General features: G+C 49.7%; 2 protein-coding genes across 6 annotated transcripts in view, besides 3 other annotated features; one reads left to right on the forward strand and one right to left on the reverse strand.

Annotated features, from left to right (window-relative positions):
• Window positions 1–3,383, forward strand: part of CABLES1 (Cdk5 and Abl enzyme substrate 1) — a 125,907-nt gene extending 122,524 nt beyond the window's left edge. For all 4 annotated transcript variants that reach the window (NR_023359.2, NM_001256438.1, NM_001100619.3 and 1 more), the window contains one exon: window positions 140–3,383. Coding sequence is in view for 3 of the 4 variants with exons in the window: in NM_001256438.1 (NP_001243367.1) it covers window positions 140–280 (141 nt within the window). In the remaining variant the exon portion in view is untranslated. The remainder of the gene's footprint in view (window positions 1–139) is intronic.
• SLC35D4 (solute carrier family 35 member D4) overlaps window positions 1–20,058 on the reverse strand; it is a 199,440-nt gene that overhangs the window by 18,566 nt on the left and 160,816 nt on the right. The window lies entirely within an intron of this gene.
• Window positions 2,212–2,875: an enhancer, noted in NCBI's record as "H3K27ac-H3K4me1 hESC enhancer chr18:20839263-20839926 (GRCh37/hg19 assembly coordinates)". NCBI's record gives its function as "activates a minimal SCP1, AML or CMV promoter by ChIP-STARR-seq in naive H9 embryonic stem cells {active_cell/tissue: H9 hESC(naive)}" and the evidence as "EXISTENCE:reporter gene assay evidence [ECO:0000049][PMID:30033119]".
• Window positions 2,506–2,555: an enhancer, noted in NCBI's record as "active region_13151". NCBI's record gives its function as "activates an Ori minimal core promoter by ATAC-STARR-seq in GM12878 lymphoblastoid cells {active_cell/tissue: GM12878}" and the evidence as "EXISTENCE:reporter gene assay evidence [ECO:0000049][PMID:35858748]".
• Window positions 10,196–10,285: an enhancer, noted in NCBI's record as "active region_13152". NCBI's record gives its function as "activates an Ori minimal core promoter by ATAC-STARR-seq in GM12878 lymphoblastoid cells {active_cell/tissue: GM12878}" and the evidence as "EXISTENCE:reporter gene assay evidence [ECO:0000049][PMID:35858748]".

The raw sequence follows: 20,058 nt of genomic DNA on the forward strand, positions 1-20,058 counted from the left end.
TTTCTTCCTCCACAGAGCTTTGCCCAAAGTGGATTTCTCCTGAGCACTCACTGGCTGGTGGATAGAGAAGCTGCAATTGCAGAAAGACTAGGATTTTAATTTCAAAATGAACATGCTTTTGATTTTCTTTTTGTTGCAGAAACTGGAAGAGAAGTTCCGGCTGAACAGGCGAGAACTGATTGCCTTTGAATTCCCGGTGTTAGTGGCCTTGGAATTCGCCCTCCACTTGCCCGAGCACGAAGTCATGCCCCACTACAGACGGCTGGTCCAGAGTTCCTAGCACTGGCCCCGAGGACAGCCAAGGGCCATTTCTTCTCAGCTTGGTGGAGCAGCACTTACTTACTACTGGAAATGAAAAAAAGTAGAACTCAGAATACCAGACTTTTCTTCCTCTCGACATAGTTTGGGGAGAAGCAGTACTAGAAACTTTCCAAGGAGTCTTGGGTGTGTAGCCAAGAGGAGCCATGAGCTATGGACTCCTCAAGCACGGGAAGAGGAGGTGTGTGCTGAGAACAGAGAGGCCCTGCCCTCTGTCCACTAGCGAGAATCCCTAGCTGCCCCAGCCCAGTCTTTCTCCCCGGCATTCACAAACTTTGCAAGCGTGGTCCAGGGCCTTCTCCAGATCTGTTCCAACTTGGAGTGTGAAGGGCTTGAGCATACGGGGGAAGAGAGTCTGCAGAAGTTGGGGGAAAACTTTTAAAAGATACCCTCATTGTGTCAAAGAGTGTGCCAATCTATTTTTGTATCAGCATTGGAAGTGCACTTTCCCCTGGGGCGTGTGGGTGTGTGAATGTGCAAGTGTCTGAGAGATACTGCATCAGCCCTAGACCCCCAGAGCCAGTCCCGCCCTTTACAGAGCAGCCCTTAGCCTGGGGCCATGGGTCAGGCTGACCTTCAACAATTATTTCTAGATGATTTCTGGATAAGAATTGCTCTCTCGGTACCAGACAGTTTGACATCCTCCACCCTTAGAAAATGACTGACATTGTTTTGTTACTGCTCCTACCCACCAAGGGGATAAAGAAGGCGAGTTCTGAGTGTTGGATGAGTCAGTCGCGTGGAAGGACGTGGAGCGTGGCGCTCTGTAACTTCCTGCCGTCTGCCACCCCGCCACGTGTATTTAACCCTCGCACTTTCTCCACTGTGGAGATGGCTGGGGCGGCGCCCCACAGTGTGTATTCCTGTCCTCTATGTTAGAGTGCATCAGAAGCACATTTACTGTGCTATCTATATCGCTATATAAAAGTGTTTTATAAAAACCCAGAATAGGAGCACGACGCATGATTGGTGTTTGAGGCGTTTGCCAGCTGGGACAAACTGCGTTTGGAGCTGTGGTTAAGCTGACTAAGGAGGCGGTGGCTCTTTCTTAACATTCCCACGTGCCCAGGGCTGTTCATGCAAGATTTTAATGGTGACTTGTCCTGGCTTACTGGGACAGTCTGTATGAGGCATGTCACCACACTGTCGCCTCATAGCTGCAAGAGAGAGGCACCAGCTGAAGTTCCCCTGACTGAAGAGAGCCTGTGGCCATGTAAAAAGAGAATTAAACTCTTGTTGCTTTTTGTATACCTGTATGCGTTTGTGTAGACGTGTGTCTCACCAGTCACCTTTGCCCTGCATTGCTGATCCCCTTGCGCACACTGATTCTAGTGAGGTCACAGATTCGGAGCTTCACACACCAGCCCAGAGAAAGGGCGATGGAACCGAACCGAGGGTCTGCAGCTTTCGTTAGCAGAGCTGTCAGATTCTTGACAGTCTTGGAGGATGGAGAAATTCAAGCAGCAGCTGGTGAGGGCCAAAACAGAATACTTGGCTTCTTCAGAATCTTAGATTGCACTGAGTTTAGTCCTAAATATTTTGCTAACAAATTTCCTTGGCCAGAATCAGTTGTAAGACAGTGATTTGGGTGGTGGGGGGAGGGAGGAGGGAGAGGATATGATTAATGTGGTCTCTTTGGCTGATCGAAAGCTAGATCAACTGGTACTTAGGGCACTTGCTGTTTATAAAGCAAAATTGAGAAAATATTCAAGGTGCCTCCATCGCCTGAACTACAAAATGCCCTTGGCCTTCCTCACATGGGGTCTGTCACCTTGCATCTCTGATAAGCCATCCACCTTCCTGGTCAGTGCCTACAGGGGGAGAGCCTTTCTGAGAAGCAGGTCCTGTGGTATCTGAGAATGGTCTAGAGAGCTCCCCACTGCCCATCTGCCCCCGAATTTCCTGCCAAGCTCTGGGGAGTGGGGTGGGGGGAGGGACGTCCGATGGATGACAGGCCGCCAGCCCAGACGTGGGGAGAGAAGCCTGAGTCCTTTCCTGTGTGATAAAATCAGGCTAATTTACTTGGATTTGGGGTGATTTGTTTGGTTTTTAGCATTTATGAGGTGAGCCCATGAAGTTAGTGGTCCATTACTTTTTAAAGATGCATTTTCATTTTAAACTGTCTCCTGGCCTGTGGATTTGTGGAATGGACAGTTTTGTGGGTTTTAATTTATTTGTGAGGAGTCGGGGCTGAGAAGGCATTTTATCAGGAGGTCTCCTTTTGCACGTCCATGACATGAGCTTTTCGGAGGCAAAGGAAGTGGAGGAGGGTGAGAGATGCAGGTCACTGCCAGAGGCACCTCTGTGACACGGAACATTCCAGACACGTCGCAGCCTTGGGCTTCGGCGAGGAGGAAGTCTGAGCCTGTGAAGCGAGAAGGCCAGGCAGTAGACTGGCTCTGAGGTTTTGCCCTTTGACCTCCTCCACAGAGGGCAGCTTCAGCCCCTTGTAAGCCCTGCCCCCTCTCAGGACTGCCCTGAGGCCTCTCCAGTCCTCCCCACACTCAGAGATCTGTGGGGAAGCTCCGCCCAGCCACACTCCTTGGGATAATACTAGCCGGTTCTGCCTGATTCCTTTTCCCCCGGAGCCAGCCTAGGGGGCCCGGGACTCCTCTAGTGAGCCTTGACTGTTAGGTAAGAGACAGGAAGCAGACAAGCCAAGAGGTTGCTGCAGCTGCCCCCAGGAGGAAACGGGCAGCAGGGAGTGTGGCCCAGCCCCCACTGTACCCCTCCAGGGGCCCGAGCCCTTGCCAGCCCAATGACACCTTGAAGTCACCACTTTTCCTTTCTTGCCCGCTAATAAAACCTATTTAAACAGGAAATTCATACCAAATGCAAATGGGTTTTGTTTTCCTTGGCATTTTGTTGTTCCGATCACAGATTTCCCTGCCAGGGTGTCTGTGGTTATCAGCTGCAGGCTCAGCTTGGGGCGGCCGCTTCACACAAGCCACTCTGTACCACGTGCCCTACCTTAGTGACGGGAGTAAGGAGCTTCCTTCCCCTCCATGTCATTCCTTCCTGTTCCCTTCATTCCCCAACAGCAAATAAAACTGTTGAATGCTCTGGCTGCTGAGTTCTTTATCTCTCACTCAGACGTTTCCGGCTTAGTGCTGAACAGCTGGCCCCTTGCCCTCCCCAGCCCTGGCTGCCTCCCGTGACTCCTGAGAGCCTGAAGCCTTTCTGCCCTGCTGCAAGCTTAAGTGGGTGGGGTGGGGGGAGGCTGGAGAATGAAGTGCATTTGAGCCAGGTGGTTTTGTTACCTGTTCAGCAACAAAAGACATCTTTCAAATCAAGGGGGATTTTTGGGGTTGGGGATGGGGGCGCGCCCTGACGTCACCTCCCCGGGGCTGTTGGCACAGTTGGGTAAGCACAGTGCTGAGGGCCAGCAAGAGCAGGGAGTAAACTGAGTGTAAATCTGGAATCACATCACCAACACCAATGTCAATAAAAAGCAGCTTCCAGTCATGCAGCTGCAAAGCAAAGCTGAGATTCAAAGCTGGAAAAGAAGAAAAATGGCAGGTGAAGGGGAAAGGTCCTCTTGCCACCTGCACACAGCCCAGCGGAAGGGACCCAGGCCAGGATGGGAAGGGGTGCTATCTAAGAGCCCCCACCCCATAAAGGGCCCTTTAGACTTCGAAATAGGTAGTCCAGAAAGGCTGCAAACCTAAGACTGGCAAAACCACAAAGAAATGCCTCGCGAGTACTGTGCTTCCTCACACACAGACTTCTTGACTTCAGATGACACATCATCTATACAACATCAATACACCTAGTACGGCTAGGTGTGGTGGCTTACACCTGTAGTCCCAGCTACTCAGGAAGCTAAGACAGAAGGATCACTTGATCCCAGGAGTTCAAGGCTGCAGTGAGCTAGGATCATTCCACCTTATTCCAGTCTGGGCAACAGAGCAAGACCATGTCTCTATTTTGTTTTTTAAGGGCTGGGTGGGGCAGGCACAGTGGCTCACACCTGTAATCCCAGCACTCTGGGAGGCCGAGGTGGGTGGATTGCTTGACACCAGCCTGGGCAACATGGCAAAACCCTGTCTCTACTGAAAATACAAAAAATTAACTGGGCATGGTGGTACACGCCTGTAGTCCCAGCTAGTTGGGAGGCTGAGGTGGGAGAATCACCAGAGTCCAGGAGGTCAAGGCTGCAGTGATCACACCACTGCACTCCAGCCTGGGTGAAGGGAGCAAGACCCTGTCTCAGAAAAAAAAGAAAAAAGTACATCTAACCTACTAAACATCACAGCTTAACCTTTCCTACCTCAAATACACTCAGAACACTTTTGTACAGTATTTGATAAATTACATGAGATAGTCAACACCTTCTTACAAAATAGGCTTTATGTGAGATGATTCAGCCTAGCATCTCCAAGGGGTATCATACAGCACATGGCTAGCCTGGTAAGGATCAAAATTCAAAGTACATTTATACGGAATGCTTTTGCACCATCATAAAGTTGACAGTTGTGCAAGTCAAACCATCATAAGCTGGGGCTTCCATATGCCATCTCTCACCACCATCTTGCCACTAAGAGCACGGCCCAAGGATCAGCAGCATTCACATCACCTACAGGCTTATTAAAGATGCAGAATCTACATCTTACCATTCCTCCTTGGTGATTTGTATGCCTGTTAAAGTCTGAGAGGCACCATTCCTCCGTATTAGCATAGGACATAAAACTGTCTAGGAAAGAGAAAGGTATAGAGAAAAATCTAAATTTTTTTCTTTAATACCAAAAAGAATAGTGCCAGCTTCAGAGGTTGTTTTGACATGTGTTTACCTAGCTGCTTCATCTAACAATTTTTTGGGTGCACAAGGCCAAAAAGATGTAAACTGGACTAAGCAACAGCTAACATATTGGTCCCAAGTACAGAGCTAACTTACAGTGCATCACAGCAGCTGCTGGTTAAGGACATTGCTCAGATGAGGCCTGGATCCCAGGTTCCCAGGGCTCACAGATACAGCGTTAGGATGGTGGCAAGTCAGGGTTCCCAACAGCACTGGAGCACAATTCTCTACTGTAGCTGGGGACTGTAGAGCTGTGACCTTGGGGACATCACAAATGGGCAGACCTCCAGTTTGCTTGGACTGACACTGATTGACGTCCACCTAGCGCTTATGAAATGTGTCTTCCACTGGGTTCTGTGGGCTTCCTGATGTCGGGCAGAGCCTGCTGGGGGCAGGTGCAAGGCACCCTTACCAGGTGCCGTGAGGCTGTTCTCCAGATGAGCCTCAATGTGGAAGCTTGAAAGGGAAGCTCCAGGGGAGAGACAGATTCCCCAGGTGGGCCCAGGGTTGGCCAAGGCCAAGGCAGCAGGGTTGGAAATCAGTGCTCAGGAATTAGCCGAGTACACAGATCACAAAGTGGGTCAAGATGAAGCAATTGTCTGGTCCCAAAAGTGAAGACCAAGAAACCAGAACTGACAAGTTAGATGCTTGGAAAGAAGATGGGTGGGAATGAAATCAGGGACTCCTTACCAGGGCACCAGAACAGGCTAGTGAGAAACCAGAGACGTGAACTGTGATAGGCAGATGAAGCCTTGGACACGGTCTTCAACAAGGGGCTGGTGCTTAGGAGGACTCGATATTCACCAAGCAGATATCATGCGCCAGCCCTGTGCTGGGCACTTAATGCACCTGTCCTCATTTAACCCTTAAACAATGAGGTACCTGGGGCTCTGAAACATCACATAAGGTGGCCAATGACACACGATTATGAAGTGACAAAGGCAAGATTCAAACCCAGCTATAATTCCAAAGCCCAAGCACCTGTCCTGCCTCATGCTTAGAATGAAACAGAGCCACTAACATGGTGGAGGGCCAAAGCGAGGCTGAGCCAGATGCTGGAGAGATGGCCTTGAGTTAGAGGAGGTCTTCTGATGCCCTCAGTTAGACAGGGCCTTCTCCCTGCCCTTCCCAGCCACTGCTGGCCCTTTTCCCTGCAGAGGAGAAGGGATCTGGAGCTACGAAATCCATAGCATCGTCTTCTTGGGTCTGAGTGGCCTCCACATTTGATGTGGGGCCCACGTCTGAGCCCCCTGGTAGAACATGAAATGTTTGGAAAACTTGCTTCCATAACAAGTAAGCTAAGGGGCTTTTGAAAGTAAGTAAAAGATCACAATCAGGTTTAACGCAGCCAGTGTTCACGTCCACCAACATTTCACCAGCTAGTGTCTCGTGGTGCATGTGTAGATTTTCCACCATGTGTTATAATTAAGACAAATTCTCCTTGCCCTACGCTCTGCGTGTTCCTTGGCTGCTGTCCCTTTAATCAGTGTGTGACTAGGAAATGCAAATTTGTTTTGCTCTAAGGCTAAGCCAAGCATACCTTGGCCAGGCGGTCAGTTGGCAAGGATGGCCACATCACACAGAGAATGGTTCAGGGATTACGAGCTGTCTGAGACTATTCATGTCTCAGCCCCCAAATGTCACAGAAAGACTTTGATTCACTGCCACTTGCAGAGCACAGGCCCTAGTCAGATGTGTCAGGTGCGCTGAAAGGCACCTCCATAGTCCTTAACTGCTGCTGTAGACCAAAGGGTTCAGCAGAGCAGGACTGGATTCCATCACCATGAACTCGAGCACCTATCACAGGGCCTGGTACACAGAATTCACCAAATAAACACTGGTTGAGTTAAATGAGCCATCGCAAAACAAATTACCCCACTGGGTGGATTGTTCCCTGCAACTCTGAATCAGCTTTCTGCTCAGCATCTGTGTTAGAGAGTTCTTGCATTGCTATAAAGAAATGCTTGAGACTGGGTAATTTACAAAGAAAAGAGGCTTAATTGCCTGCTGGTTCTGCAGGTGCCAGTGTCTGCTCAGCTTCTGGAGAGGCCTCAGGGAGCTTTTATTCATGCCAGAAGGCAAAGCGGGAACAGGCACGCTACACAGCAAAACAGGAGCAAGAGGGGTGGGAAGGTGCCACACTTTATTCCTTTTTTTTTTTTTTTTTTTTTTTTTTTGAGACGGAGTCTCGCCCTATCACCCAGGCTGGAGTGCAGTGGTGCGATCTCGGCTCACTGCAACCTCTGCCTCCCAGGTTCAAGCGATTCTCCTGCCCCAGCCTCCTGAGTAGCTGGGATCACAGGCGCGCGCCACTACGCCCGGCTAATTTTTGTATTTTTAGTAGAGACAGGGTTTCACTATGTTGGTCAGGCTGGTCTCGAACTCTTGACCTCGTGATCCGTCTGCCTCGGCCTCCCAAAGTGCTGGGATTATAGGCATGAGCCACCGTGCCCAGCCGTCATTTTTTTATTTTGAGACAGGTTCTCACTCTATTGCCCAGGTGGAGAGCAGGGGTGCAATCATGGCTTGCTGCAGGCTCAATCGACTCTCCCACCTCAGTCTCCCAAATAGGCTGGGATTACAGGTGCATCACGCCACGCCCAGCTGATTTTTGTATTTTTTGTAGAGATGAGGTTTCACCATGTTGCTCAGGCTGGTTTCAAACTTGTGGGCTCAAGCGATCCTCCCATCTCAGCCACCCAAATTACCGGGATTACAAGCATGAGCCACCGTGCCCGGCCTACACTTTTAAATAACCAGATCTCGTGAGGATTCACTCACTATCGTGAGGACAGCACCAAGCTATTCATGAGGGATCCACCCCCATGACCCAAACATCTCCCACCAGGCCCCACCTACAACATTAGGAATTACTTTTCAACATGAAATTTGGGTGGGGATAAATATCCAGCCACATCCGCATCTCACTCAGGGCTGACTCTGCAGATCCCAGCACCCAGGTTTCCTTGCCCTCCAGCTTCTGGTTAGGCTCTGGAAGGAGAGACACTGACCAGAAATGAGAGAGCAGGAGGAGAACGGGAACTGGGGTGTGTGTTCCACGGCCCAGCCTCCACCCCAGCCAAGGGGCCCTGCTAGTCCCGGGATCTCACCACCCCTTCTTGGACAGTTCCTTCACTAAACTCACTCAATTTCTCCCAATGCACGAGCCATCAAGTTCATGCTGTGGCTTTGGCCAATACACCCAGTTGGCAGAGTAGGAAACGGTGTCTCATCAAGTACGGGCAATCTGGGGTTGTCTATAACCCCAAAGCATTCTGGAAACAAGCAGTAGGAATCGTCCCCCCAAAGCACCAAGAATGGATAGGAACAGTCAAAAATATCACATGGCTCTCAAAAAAAAAAAAAAAAACCAGAAAGGAAAAAAGTTTGGCTACAATGACCCTGGCCTTGAAGCAGCCCAATGGGCACTTCCCACCAGCCCAGACCCCTCCCAACAGCTGCCGTGGCCCCACTGAGACTTTGGAGTTCTTGGGAGTTCTCTTATGAGGGTCATCTGAACAGAAGCTGATCATAAAAGATGACCAAAAAGAAATCTCTCTCCCCACTGGAGAGGGTGGATGGCACACTCTGCCGGAACCACTTGCTATAAATTATTTTTTAAAAATCGTGGCTTCCAGAAAAAGGAAGCAGATCGCCTCTGAGGCTTATCTAGAAGGCCCTGATGAAGCATACATACTGTTCTATGAGTGTCTAAGCCAGATACCATGTTCCCTAAGGCAGCTGCCTTCTCCATGAAATCAATTTTCATTTTTATTTATAAAATAAAAACAAGACACAAATGAGAATTGCTTACTTTCCCCCCTTCTTTCCAGTATGTGTTGGAGAGAGTGACAGATACTCTCAGGGGAAGCCTCAGGGGAAGCCTGGGGCCAGAACGGTTTTTGGAAAAATATGCAGCCGGAAGGGGCCATTTCTCAGAAGCAGCCCTTAGGGAGCCCAGGGGCAGCTGACACTAGGAGGAGCAGGCACTGGAAGGCAGGAAAAGGTTCCAGAGCTAGGCAGACCGTGCGGCCTTATGCAAGCCACTGGCCAGCCCATGCCTGCTGGGGGTCATAGTACCTCCCATCAGAGGGACTCTGGAAGATGGCACAGTAAACCCCTGGCCCAGGGCCTGGCATACAGTAGGCACTCAATAGATGAAAACAATTACTATTTTTACCTCCATTGAACTTAATTCTTAGCAAAAAAAAAAAAAAAAACAAATCCTGCTTTATAGAGAAAGAGATTGGAGCACAGATAGGTGCCTAGGGCCAAATTTGGACCATAAAATACATTCAGATTCCATTCCGTTCTTGTCCCCCACTGCTCAGGCAGAGTGTCGGTGACAACTCAGGGAATGCAGGAGCTGGGACCGGTGATGTCCTTGAAGAGGCACAGTGGTCTCTTCAACCAGGTGGCTTCACAGCCATTAGCCAACAAATGGACTTCAGGTGTTTTTCTGCTTTCTTGAAACCAAATTCCCCCAGGTGCTTACTTGAGCAGCTCAATGGGGTGATTATGAGGCCCCTGTGGCCTTGAGGCTTCCTCTCCAGTGATGACAAGGTCGCCTGGCCAACTCACCTGGACAGCTGCCCTCAAACGTGGCCCTTGGAGCCCCCTCAGCGGCACCCGCCCTGCAGAGCAGCTTGTTGGATTCTCTCACTCTCCTCCCCCAGAGAGGCTCCCTCGCCGAAGCTCAGGGAGTGACTCCTGGTTCGCTGATGAGGGGCTGGTGGGCTGCCTTGCCTGCTGGTCTGTGTCCCCACCTAGCCTAGGCCCCCCACTCCAGGGCAGAGCATCCGACCAACAGACCACAGAGGTAGAGCTGTGCCCACACTCTGCCCTAAACCGCATCTGCATGGGGCCTGACCCAGAAGAAGGTGCTTGCCCTGCCGCCCCACAGTGAGAGCTCTAAACCAGAGCCTGGCTGAAAATGGGGCTGCCCCTTGCTGCTGACTTGAGGAACCGGGGGCAGTTTTGTGAGACGCGATGTGGCCTCACCTCATTCCTGGTAAGATTCAGCCACATTCTTCACTGACACCACCCTCGGTCTCTTCCGCTGTCCAGCGTGCACATGGCCTCAGGACACCACTGGGGGTTGCAGGTGAATTTCAGGGTGTCTATGACACACTGCCAAGCCCACGCTCCTCTCAAGTTCAGCTCAGACTCTATAGGCTCTTCTGAACGGGCGCTTCCTGCCCCTTCCACCTGTCCCGTGCCAGCCCTGGTGGCTCTCTAGGTTGTTCTGCACTCCCTCCACCCCGGCCCACTTCCTGCCCCCAATCTTCTCAATAGGGACTTGCTTTCCTCCCCCCAGGACACTCCTCTAGCTCTTGTTCTGTGCCACACAGTTGCTCTTCCTGCTGCCTCTGTCATGGCTCTCCGGCTGCCCACTCCCTGCACTGTCGGCCCTCAGCCAGCTTCTCCCTAAAGTGCCTCCTTCCCTTCGCCCTGACTCTGTCCCGTTCCTCTGCACCTCTGCTTCACATCTGGGGTCCCCTGCCCCATCCTCTTTCCTTCCTTAGCGCTCCCTTAGGTCCTCAGCCACTCCCTGCCTGGCTGGCTGCACTAGGGTGTCCTGTTGCCCATCTTGTCACACAGCCCCTTTTCCCCACAAGGCCTCCTCAGGCCCCTGGCACACAGGCCCGCACCATGTGCACTGAACAGAGTCCCCCTCTCAGCACACACAACATCCCATGGTTTCAATTCAACTGCAAGTCTTCTGGCCACCCGGTTTGGGAAGTCCCTACAATTCCACAGCTGTCCAGTTGGGTCATTTAGGTCCTGGGGGCCTCATTTTTGGGAGACACATTCTTTAGGGTTCCCAGAGCCCACATGCTGCAGCCATTTGGCCTCACCAAGCCATCCCAGAAAAGAGAGCAGGCCTTTTATCTTTTCCATAGTGAATAAAATAATTTGCAGGAAGTCTCTACCACACCTTTAAATCAAAGTATAAGTCCTGAACTAAAGTCAAGACACAGAGAGGAAGAATATGAGGAGAAATGGGTATTTATTATACAAACATTCCCAAATTGAAACAGTTCTGATCTGGATTCCTGTTTGCAGAAGATCTGGGCTTTGAGAGATTACTCTTGCTGCCAATAGAAGTTTCCAGAGACCAGTACTATTCAGATCAGGAGCAAATATTTGGTTGGAAAACTAAAGAAGTATTTGCTGAACATTTGTCAAAGTGCGGTCTTAGTAGGGCTAGCTGAAGCAGAATCACCTGGGGTGCCCTTTGGAAATGCAAATCCCTGGGAATTCTGGAATCTCTGAGGGTGGGGTCTAGGAATCCATATTTGCAACAAGTTCCCCAGGTGATGTTTCTCCAGTCAAGGTTCGAGAGTCACAGCCATCCAAGTGTTGAGGGGTTGTAGCAAGCAGAACATGGAAGGCAGGCAAAGATGCTGCTCCTAGCAGGGCTTCTGGAATCTGCATAAACTTGTTAAATGCAGACGCTGGGGCAGCAGGACTAGGATGGGACTAGACGTTCTAGGGACCCCGTGTTGCAGGTCCACAAATCACAGCATATTTTTAGTAGGAAGCGGCTGGAGGGTATATTTCCTTTGCATTGTCTGCCTGCTGTGCGTGTGTGTGTGCGTGTGTGTGTGTGTGTGTGTGTATACATACTACAACAATAAAGCACTTTTGCATGGCTTACTTCCCATAATGAAATATGAAGCTATTGTTTAAGTACTGACTCTAAATCTTAGCTAAACTATTGCTGCCCTCTTAGGCAGTCAGCTGGAAGTTGGCTCACAAGAGCAGTTCAGAGAAAATCTGTGGTGTCAGAGATAGTCAGATCTCCTCACCGTTCCGTGGCCCAATGAGCTTGGGCTAATTATGAAAACTTTCCAAGCTTCAGACTTTAGCTGTAAAATGAAGCTGACTCTGGGTCCTTTCTCAAAGCAGATGATGAGGGTTCCACAGATGGTGATATGGTTTGGCTGTGTCCCCACCCAAAGCTCATCTTGAATTGTAGCTCCCATAATCCCCATGTGACATGGGAGGGACCCAGTGGGAGATAATTGAATCATGGGAGTGGTTTACCCCATCCTGTTTTGGTGATAGAGTTCTCACAAGATCTGATGGTTTTATAAGGGGCTTCCCCACCTTTCCCTCTGCACTTCTCCTTCCTGCCACCATGTGAAGAACGTGTTTGCTTCCCCTTCTGCCATGATTGTAAGTTTCCTGAGGCCTCTCCAGCTATGCTGAACTGTGAGTCAATTAAACCTGTTTCCTTTATAAATTACCCACTCTTGGGCATGTCTTTATTAGCAGTGTGAGAATGGACTAATACAGTAAATTGGTACTGGTAGAGTGGGGTACTGCTATTAAGATACCGAAAAATGTGGAAGCAATTTTGGAACTGGGTAACAGGCAGAGACTGGAACAGTTTGGAGGGCTCAGAAGAAGACAGGAAGATGTGGGAATGTTAGGAGCTTCCTAGAGACGTGTTGAATGGTTTTGACCAAAATGCTGATAGTGATATGGACAATAAAGTCCAGGTTGAGGTGGTCTCAGATGGAGATGAGGAACTTGTTGGGAACTGGAATAAAGGTCACTCTTGCTATGCAAAGAGAATGGTGGCATTTTGCCCCTTCCCTAGAGATCTGTGGAACTTTGAACTTGAGAGAGATGATTTAGGGTATCTGGGAGAAGAAATTTCTAAGTGGCAAAGCATTCAAGAGGAAGCAGAGCAAAAAGTTTGGAAAATTTGCAGCCTGACGATGTGATAGAAAAGAAAACCCCATTTTCTGGAGATAAATTCAAGCTAGCTGTATAAATTTGCATAAATAACAAGGAGGCAAATGTTAATCACCAAGACAATGAGGAAAAAGTCTCCTGGGCATGTCACAAATCTTCGTGGCAGTCCCTCCCATCACAGGCCCAGAGGCCTAGGAGGAAAAAATGGTTTCCTAGGGCTGGGCCCAGGGCTCCCTGCTGTGGGGAGGCTAGGGACTTGGTGCCTTGTGTCCCAGATGCTCTAGCCATGGCTAAAAGGGGCCAAGGTACAGCTCAGGTCATGGCTTCAGAGGGTGAAAGCCCCAAGCCTTGGTAGCTTACACATGGCATTGGGTCTGCAGGTGCACAGAAGTCAAGAATTGAGGTTTGGGAACCTCCATCTAGATTTCAGAGGATATGTAGGAATGCCTGCATGTCTAGGCAAAAGTTTGCTTCAGGGGCAGAGCCCTCATGAAGAACTCTTCTAGGGCAGTGTGGATGGGAAATGTGGGGTTGGAGCCCCCACACAGAGTCCCCACTGGGGCACCGCCTAGTGGAACCATGAGAAGAGGGCCACCATCTTCCAGACCCCAGAATGGTAGATCTGCCAACAGCCTGTACTGTGCACCTGGAAAAACTGCAGACAATGCCAACCTGTGAAAGCAGCCAGGAGGGGAACTATACCCTGCAAAGCCACAGGGGCGGAGCTGCTCAAGACTGTGGGAACCCACCTCCTGCATCAGCATGCCTTGGATGAGAGACATGGAGTCAAAAGAGATTATGTGAGTAATAATAAAACTCTGGTCTCCTACACAGCCGGCTCTGTGTAAATTACTCTTTCTTTACTGCAATTCCCCAGTCTTGACAAATTGGTTCTGTCTAGGCAGTGGGCAAGATGAACGCACTGGACAGTTACAATAGGCAGAAGGGATTTGCCTTATCTCAGATGAAACTTTGGACTGTGGACTTTTGAGTTAATGCTGAAATGCCTTAAGACTTTGGAAAACTGTTGGGAAGGCATGATTGGTTTTGAAATGTGAGGACATGAGATTTGGGAGGGGCCGGGGTGGAATAATATGGTTTGTCTGTGTCCCCACCCAAATCTCATCTTGAATTGTAGCTCCTATAATCCCCACATATCACAGGAGAGACCCAGTGGCAGATAACTAAATCATGGGGGTAGGTTTTTCCCATGCTGTTCTCATGATAGTGAATAAGTCTCACAAGATCTGATGGTTTTATAAGGGGAAGTTCCCCTACAAACACTCTGTCTCATCTGCCGCCATGTGAGACATGCCTTGTTCCTCCTTTGCCTTCCACCATGATTGTAAGGCCTCCCCAGCCATGTGGAACTGTGAATTCATTAAACCTCTTTTTCTTTACAAATTACCTAGTCTTGGGTATTTTTTCATAGTAGTATGAAAATGGACTAATACAGATGGTAAATGCAAGTATACACTTGGTTCCTGACACAGTGCAGTCAGCAGGCACTAGTTGTTGGCATTAGCCCACGGTGGAAAGCCTGTGAGGGATCCTCGTCTGGGTCTGGCATTGAGGGCTGTGATACAATAAGAATTATAGCTTTGGTCTTTATCCCTGAGCATGACATAGAGCTTCTAAAACTCTTGGAATTTCCTGAGTTATAGACAGGCCTGTTGGTGTTCACAACAAGCCCCTTTCAACCACATCTGAGTTTATGTTAATGAGGTGACTCTTGGTGGGTCTCTAGATAGCTTCAGGATGGGGGCTTGGAAAGATCAAGGCATGATTAGAGTGTTGGAACTTCCAGCCCCATCTCCGACCTCTGGGGAGAGGAGAGTGGGTGAAGACTGAGTTGATCACCAAATGGCCATGGTTTGATCAATCATGCCTACATAATGACGTTTCCATTAAAAACCCAAAAGGATTGGGTTCAGAGAGCTTCCTGATAGCTAAACATGTGGAGTTTCCTGGAAGGTTTTGCACTCAGAGTGGGAATGGAAACTCTGAGGCCCCTTCTCCCATACTTTGCCCTATGTATTTCTTCCATCTGGCTGTTCATCTGGATCCTTTGCCGTATCCCCTATAATCAATGGGCAAACATAATTAAAGTGTTTCCCTAAGTTCTGTGAGCTGCTCTAGCAAATTAATTGAACACAATGAGGGGATTGTGGGAACACTGATTTATAGCAAGTTGATTGGAAGTAGTTGGTATCTGAAGTAAGGGGCAGTCTTGTGGGACTGAGCCTGCACGTGTGGGATCTGATGCTATTTCCAGGTAGATAGTGTCAGAACTGAACTGTCTGGAGGTGCCAAGCAAGTCAGGAAGGCTGCCACTGCTGTGGAGGCAACAGGTCCCTGTAGAGAGACCCCTTGCATGGAAGCCACCTATTCCTTGTCGGTCTCTTCCACCTGTAGTCCCAGCTATTCAGGAGGCTGAGGCAGGAGGATCACTTGAGCTCAGGAGTTCAAGGCTGCAGTGAGCTATGATCATGCCACTGCACTCCAGCCTGGGCAACAGAGCCAGACCCCATCTCTTAAAAATAAGTAAATATACTTATTTTTAATGGAATAAAATGGAATAAAAATAAAAATGGAAGGTGTCTGGAGTCAGATTGGTGAGTTTGGGGATGAGTAGGAGATCAGAAAATAGGGTCAGCAAGCAGAGGCTTTTTTGAGGTTTAGTTGTGAACAAGAGGAAGGAGCTAGGAAAGAAATCAGAAGCTAAGAACCAAAACCTTTTATCCTCGCACTCAGCCAGGACACAGAGAAGCGAAACCACACCTGACTGCCTACACGAACCTGACTTTGCTATACCACTGTCTTCGTTAGCATTTCTTTCCTCTTTTGGTACTGTCTCCCAACACACGGTTTGATTATTTACTATAGAAACTTCCCAATTCCTCAATGCACAGTGTCCACAGACAGTTTGCTCTTGAAGCGTTGGACCCTCTGCAGTTTCCACCAATCCTAGACTCTCGAATCCTGATGGTTACCCAGTCCTACATCCCCACATGGAAAGACCCACCTCAGACCAAACTTCCAATCTGGGATAGATTCTGCCTTTGTCTTCCTAGCTCTGAAACACTGCCCAAGCTTTGTTCTCCATGACACCGGTGAGCCGCAATCAGCCTGGTTTTATCTTGTCAATGGGTGTGCTAATGACGGGAGGAGAGCCAGCTTAGACCAACTGGATGAAGAAAGAAGCCACGTTTTTGTTTTGTTGTTGATTTTAAATGGGAAAGACTTGAGGGTGTTTCAAACCAGTAGAGAGGGAAAAGGTGAAATAGCCAACAGAGAGAGATCCCTGGGTTTCTGAGAAGGCAGGAGGAGTTGGAATCAGAATGAGCAGAATCAGAGGGATAAATGTTAAGTTGAAGAGGAAGTACTCCTCGACTGCAAAAAGAAGGAAGGAGAAGCGTAAATGTGGGCAGGTGTGTATGGATGACACTGGGACGGTGAATGAGCTCACCTGACAGCTTTCAGTCTCTTTTGAAGCAAGAGGGGAGGCCCGTCTACATGGAGGTGAGAGAAGGGCAAAAAGAGAAAGGGAGTTTGAAGAGTAAAAAGTGTTTGGATAATTGTTGTGGAGACACGGAAAGTGAACCAGCATGGGAAACTGTAACTTCCCTAGTTACAGAGAACTGAGACTGGTGCTTATGAAGGTCTAGAGAATGCAATCGCCCTGTTCTGTGACTTCCTGAATGAATGAATGAATGAATGAATGAGGACTTCTGGGGTGACTGCATATTCCACACTCACTTAGATATGGAAGCGCTAATGGATTTTAAAGTCATTCGCCTCACGGTCACATTCCATTTACTCAGTCACCGCAAGTCTCCTGCCACCTAAAGCCAGTCACTGTGGAAAGCTCTGCTTGCTGATGGTCATAAGGATAACAGTAAGGTTTACTGTCTGTTTACTGTGTGCCGGTATGCTAAGCACAACACATACATACATTACTATAATTTTTTTCCATTTAATTGTTTCAACAAACGTTTGAGAGGATTAAATTACCTTTCCATTTTTATTTTATTTTTTTTGCGACGAGGTCTCACTCTGTTACCCAGGCCAGAGTGCAGTGGCACAATCACGGCTCACTGCAGCCTCAACCTCCTCAGCTCAAGTGATCTTCCTGCCTCAGCCTCCCGAGTAGCTGGGACTACACAGGTGCACGCCACCACGCCTGGCTAGTTTTTAAATTTTTTTGTAGAGACAGGGTCTCACTCTGTTATCTATTCTGGTCACAAACTCCTCGTCTCAAGCAACCCTCCTGCTTCAGCCTCCTGAAGTGCTGGAATTATTGACATAAGCCACGGCTCCCAGCCCTACATTTCCATTGTAAAAATGGGAGAGCTGAGGCTCAATGGGCCATTCACCTCCAGCCCAGAACCACGTGCCCAGGCTGCTGAGCCCTCAGCGGTGGCAGCTGTGGACTCCCTGATCGAGGGATTGGGAAAGACCATGGATTATAAAGAGGTAGATAATTCTTGAGAAGAAAGAATCAGCTTTGCCACAGAATGAAAGTAAATTCCATGCCTTAGGACAAGGTGAGATGTACTGCCTGGTGCCCCACAGTGGGGAAAGGTGGTCAAATATTGCCTGAGTTTCCCGCCAGCCTAAAAGTCTCCATCCCCAGCCATCACATACGTGCTGGACAGGAGCCTGATCAGTGGGTCCATCCTCTCCCTGCCCCTTCCCCTATTCCCCACTGGAACTCCCATAGTCTCTGAGCCCCCTGGAGGCAGCCTCCCCACTGCCACTGCTGCCCTAGTCCACCAGGCCCCAGGTGCTGTGTCCAGTGCACGCAAGGGCCAGGGCAGCCCTGTGTTCTCCATGTGAGGGGGAAAGCCCCATCTCCCTCTCAGTCTCACATCTGATTCCAGTGCTCAGCCTCCCCCACACACTCCCTGGAAAACATCTTTAACTTAGGCCTGGAGCAGTCCCATCGCCTCAGGCCTTAGAAACACAAGTCCCTGCGGCAGGCGTGTGAATGCGGGAGTGTGTGCTTGCGAGTGTGTGCTTGTGTGTGTTTGTGAGTGTATATGTGTGCTTGTGTGTGCGCTTGTGTCTGAGTGCATGTGTGTGAGCGTGCTTGTGTATGTGTGTGCTTGTGTGTCTGCTTGTATTTTGTGTGTGAGTGTGTTTGTGTAGGTGTGCTTGTGTGTGTGTGTGCTTGTGTGCGTGCTTGTGTGTTTTTGTGTGTGCATGTGTGTGTGCTTGTGTGAGTGCTTGTGCGTGTGTGTGTGTGCAGGGTGCAGGGAGGGGCAGCAGAGGGTGGGAACTTCGCAATGTTCTGCCTTCTCCTCACTGTCTCCCTGAACTCATGCACTCACACGGCCAGGCTGCCAACAGACCTTGGGCGCCTCCAGATTTTTCTGGCCCCAGAGGACTGCTCTGATTCCAGCTTACCTCAAGCCAGAGCCTCAGCTATTGAAGCAATAATTCTAGGTGCAGCCTTGGACCTGAAACTGGGCGGGCACCTAGAGGCTACTCAAGGACCATGAACCGTGCCCTCCGGGGGTTGGTGAGACAAACCCGAGGTGATCATTCACCCCACCAGCTTCCCCATCACCTGACCGGAGGCTGAAGGGGCTTCGCGAGAACAAGCTGAACTACAGAGGCAGAGCAGGTAAATGGAGCGGGACAGGTCCTCACAGCCTCTTCAGGAGCTGGGTCAGAAAGAGTGCTGTGCTGTGCTGTGCTGTGCTGTGCTGTGCTGTGCTGTGCTGTGCTGTGCTGTGCTGTGCTTTGTTTGGGGACTTGACGTGGAAGGACACCTGTACCCCAAAGCCAAGGTCATGTAGCCCAACTCTTATAGGGGGTCAAAGGAAGTGGGATGGGGTGTTCTAGAAGGTGTAGCTCTCCCATCCCTGGTGGGCTGCTTTTCAGATGTCTAAAAACAATGCTAGGTAAGAATAAAGGGCTGAGAGACCCAAGAACAGATGTCGTGTGACTCCACTGATGTGAGGTTTCTGGAATAGGCAAATTCATACACACAGGTGGTAGAATGGTGGTGACCAGGGACAGCGAAGGAAGGAACGGGGAGTTAGTGTTCAGTGGGCTGGGGTTTCTGTTACGGATGATGAAAAGATTCCAGAAATGGATGGTGGTGATGGCTGCACAACACTGTGAACATATTTCATACCACTGAACTGTGCACTTAAAAATGGGGAAAAGGGCACCTTTTTTTTTTCTGAGATGGAGTCTCACTCTGTCGCCCAGCCTGGAGTGCAGTGGCGCAATCTCGGCTCACTGCAAGCTCCGCCTCCCGGGTTCACGCCATTCTCCTGCCTCAGCCTCCCGAGTAGCTGGGACTACAGGCACCCACCAAAACGTCCGGCTAATTTTTTTGTACTTTTAGTACAGATGGGGTTTCACCGTGTTAGCCAGGATGGTCTCGATCTTCTGACCTCGTGATCCACCCGCCTTGGCCTCCCAAAGTGCTGGGATTACAGGCTTGAGCCACCGCGCCCAGCCAGAAAAGGGCACATTTTATGTTATGTGTATTTTACCAGAATTTTGTTTTTTTTTTTTTTAGAAAAAGGAAGAAAGGACTGAGGGACCTAGAGAGGCTGTGTGGGAGAACAATAGGCCCAAGGCAGAGTGGGGCCCCAGCCTGGGGAGGAGGACATTCAAGCAGAGACTGCTGCCACCAGTGTTGTGGTGCTGGTATTTCATAGTTCTTCAGGCCTGCTATTCATAGCTCAGTCCCACCCATATGCACTTGAAGTTATTTGGAATCTAGGACTTAATTATTTTCCAGCTGGCACATACCGCCAAGTCAACCCCGGCGCTAGCCAGTCCCTGCCCGCCTATCCTCCCTGCCTCTCCTTGCTGCCTGGTTACTGAGGGAGGGACCCGCAGAGCCAGCTGCAATCCCATTCCCCTGCCTCCCCTTGCCAGGAGTGGTAGCCAAAGAGACAGGGCTGTCCCTCACTCATGCTACAGGAGCCACACGACATGCACTCTGCAGGACTCATGGAGCTCAGGGCAAGGAGATCTTCAAAAAGTCCTGCTCTGCTCCTCTTACCTTTTCTTCTCCTCTCTACCTGTCATCTAGTGCCATGATAATGCTGCAAATCGAACCACCTCAAATCTTACTGGTTTAAACTAATAGCCATTTCTTTTTTCTCATGAGTCTAGATTTTGCTGGGCAGCTCAGCTGGTCTCACCCAGGCTCACTTGTGTGTCTGCAGTCAGCTGAAGGCTGGCTGGTCTAGGATGGTAATACAGTT

Source organism: Homo sapiens, chromosome 18, assembly GCF_000001405.40.
Source record: "Homo sapiens chromosome 18, GRCh38.p14 Primary Assembly".
Lineage (NCBI taxonomy): Eukaryota > Metazoa > Chordata > Mammalia > Primates > Hominidae > Homo > Homo sapiens.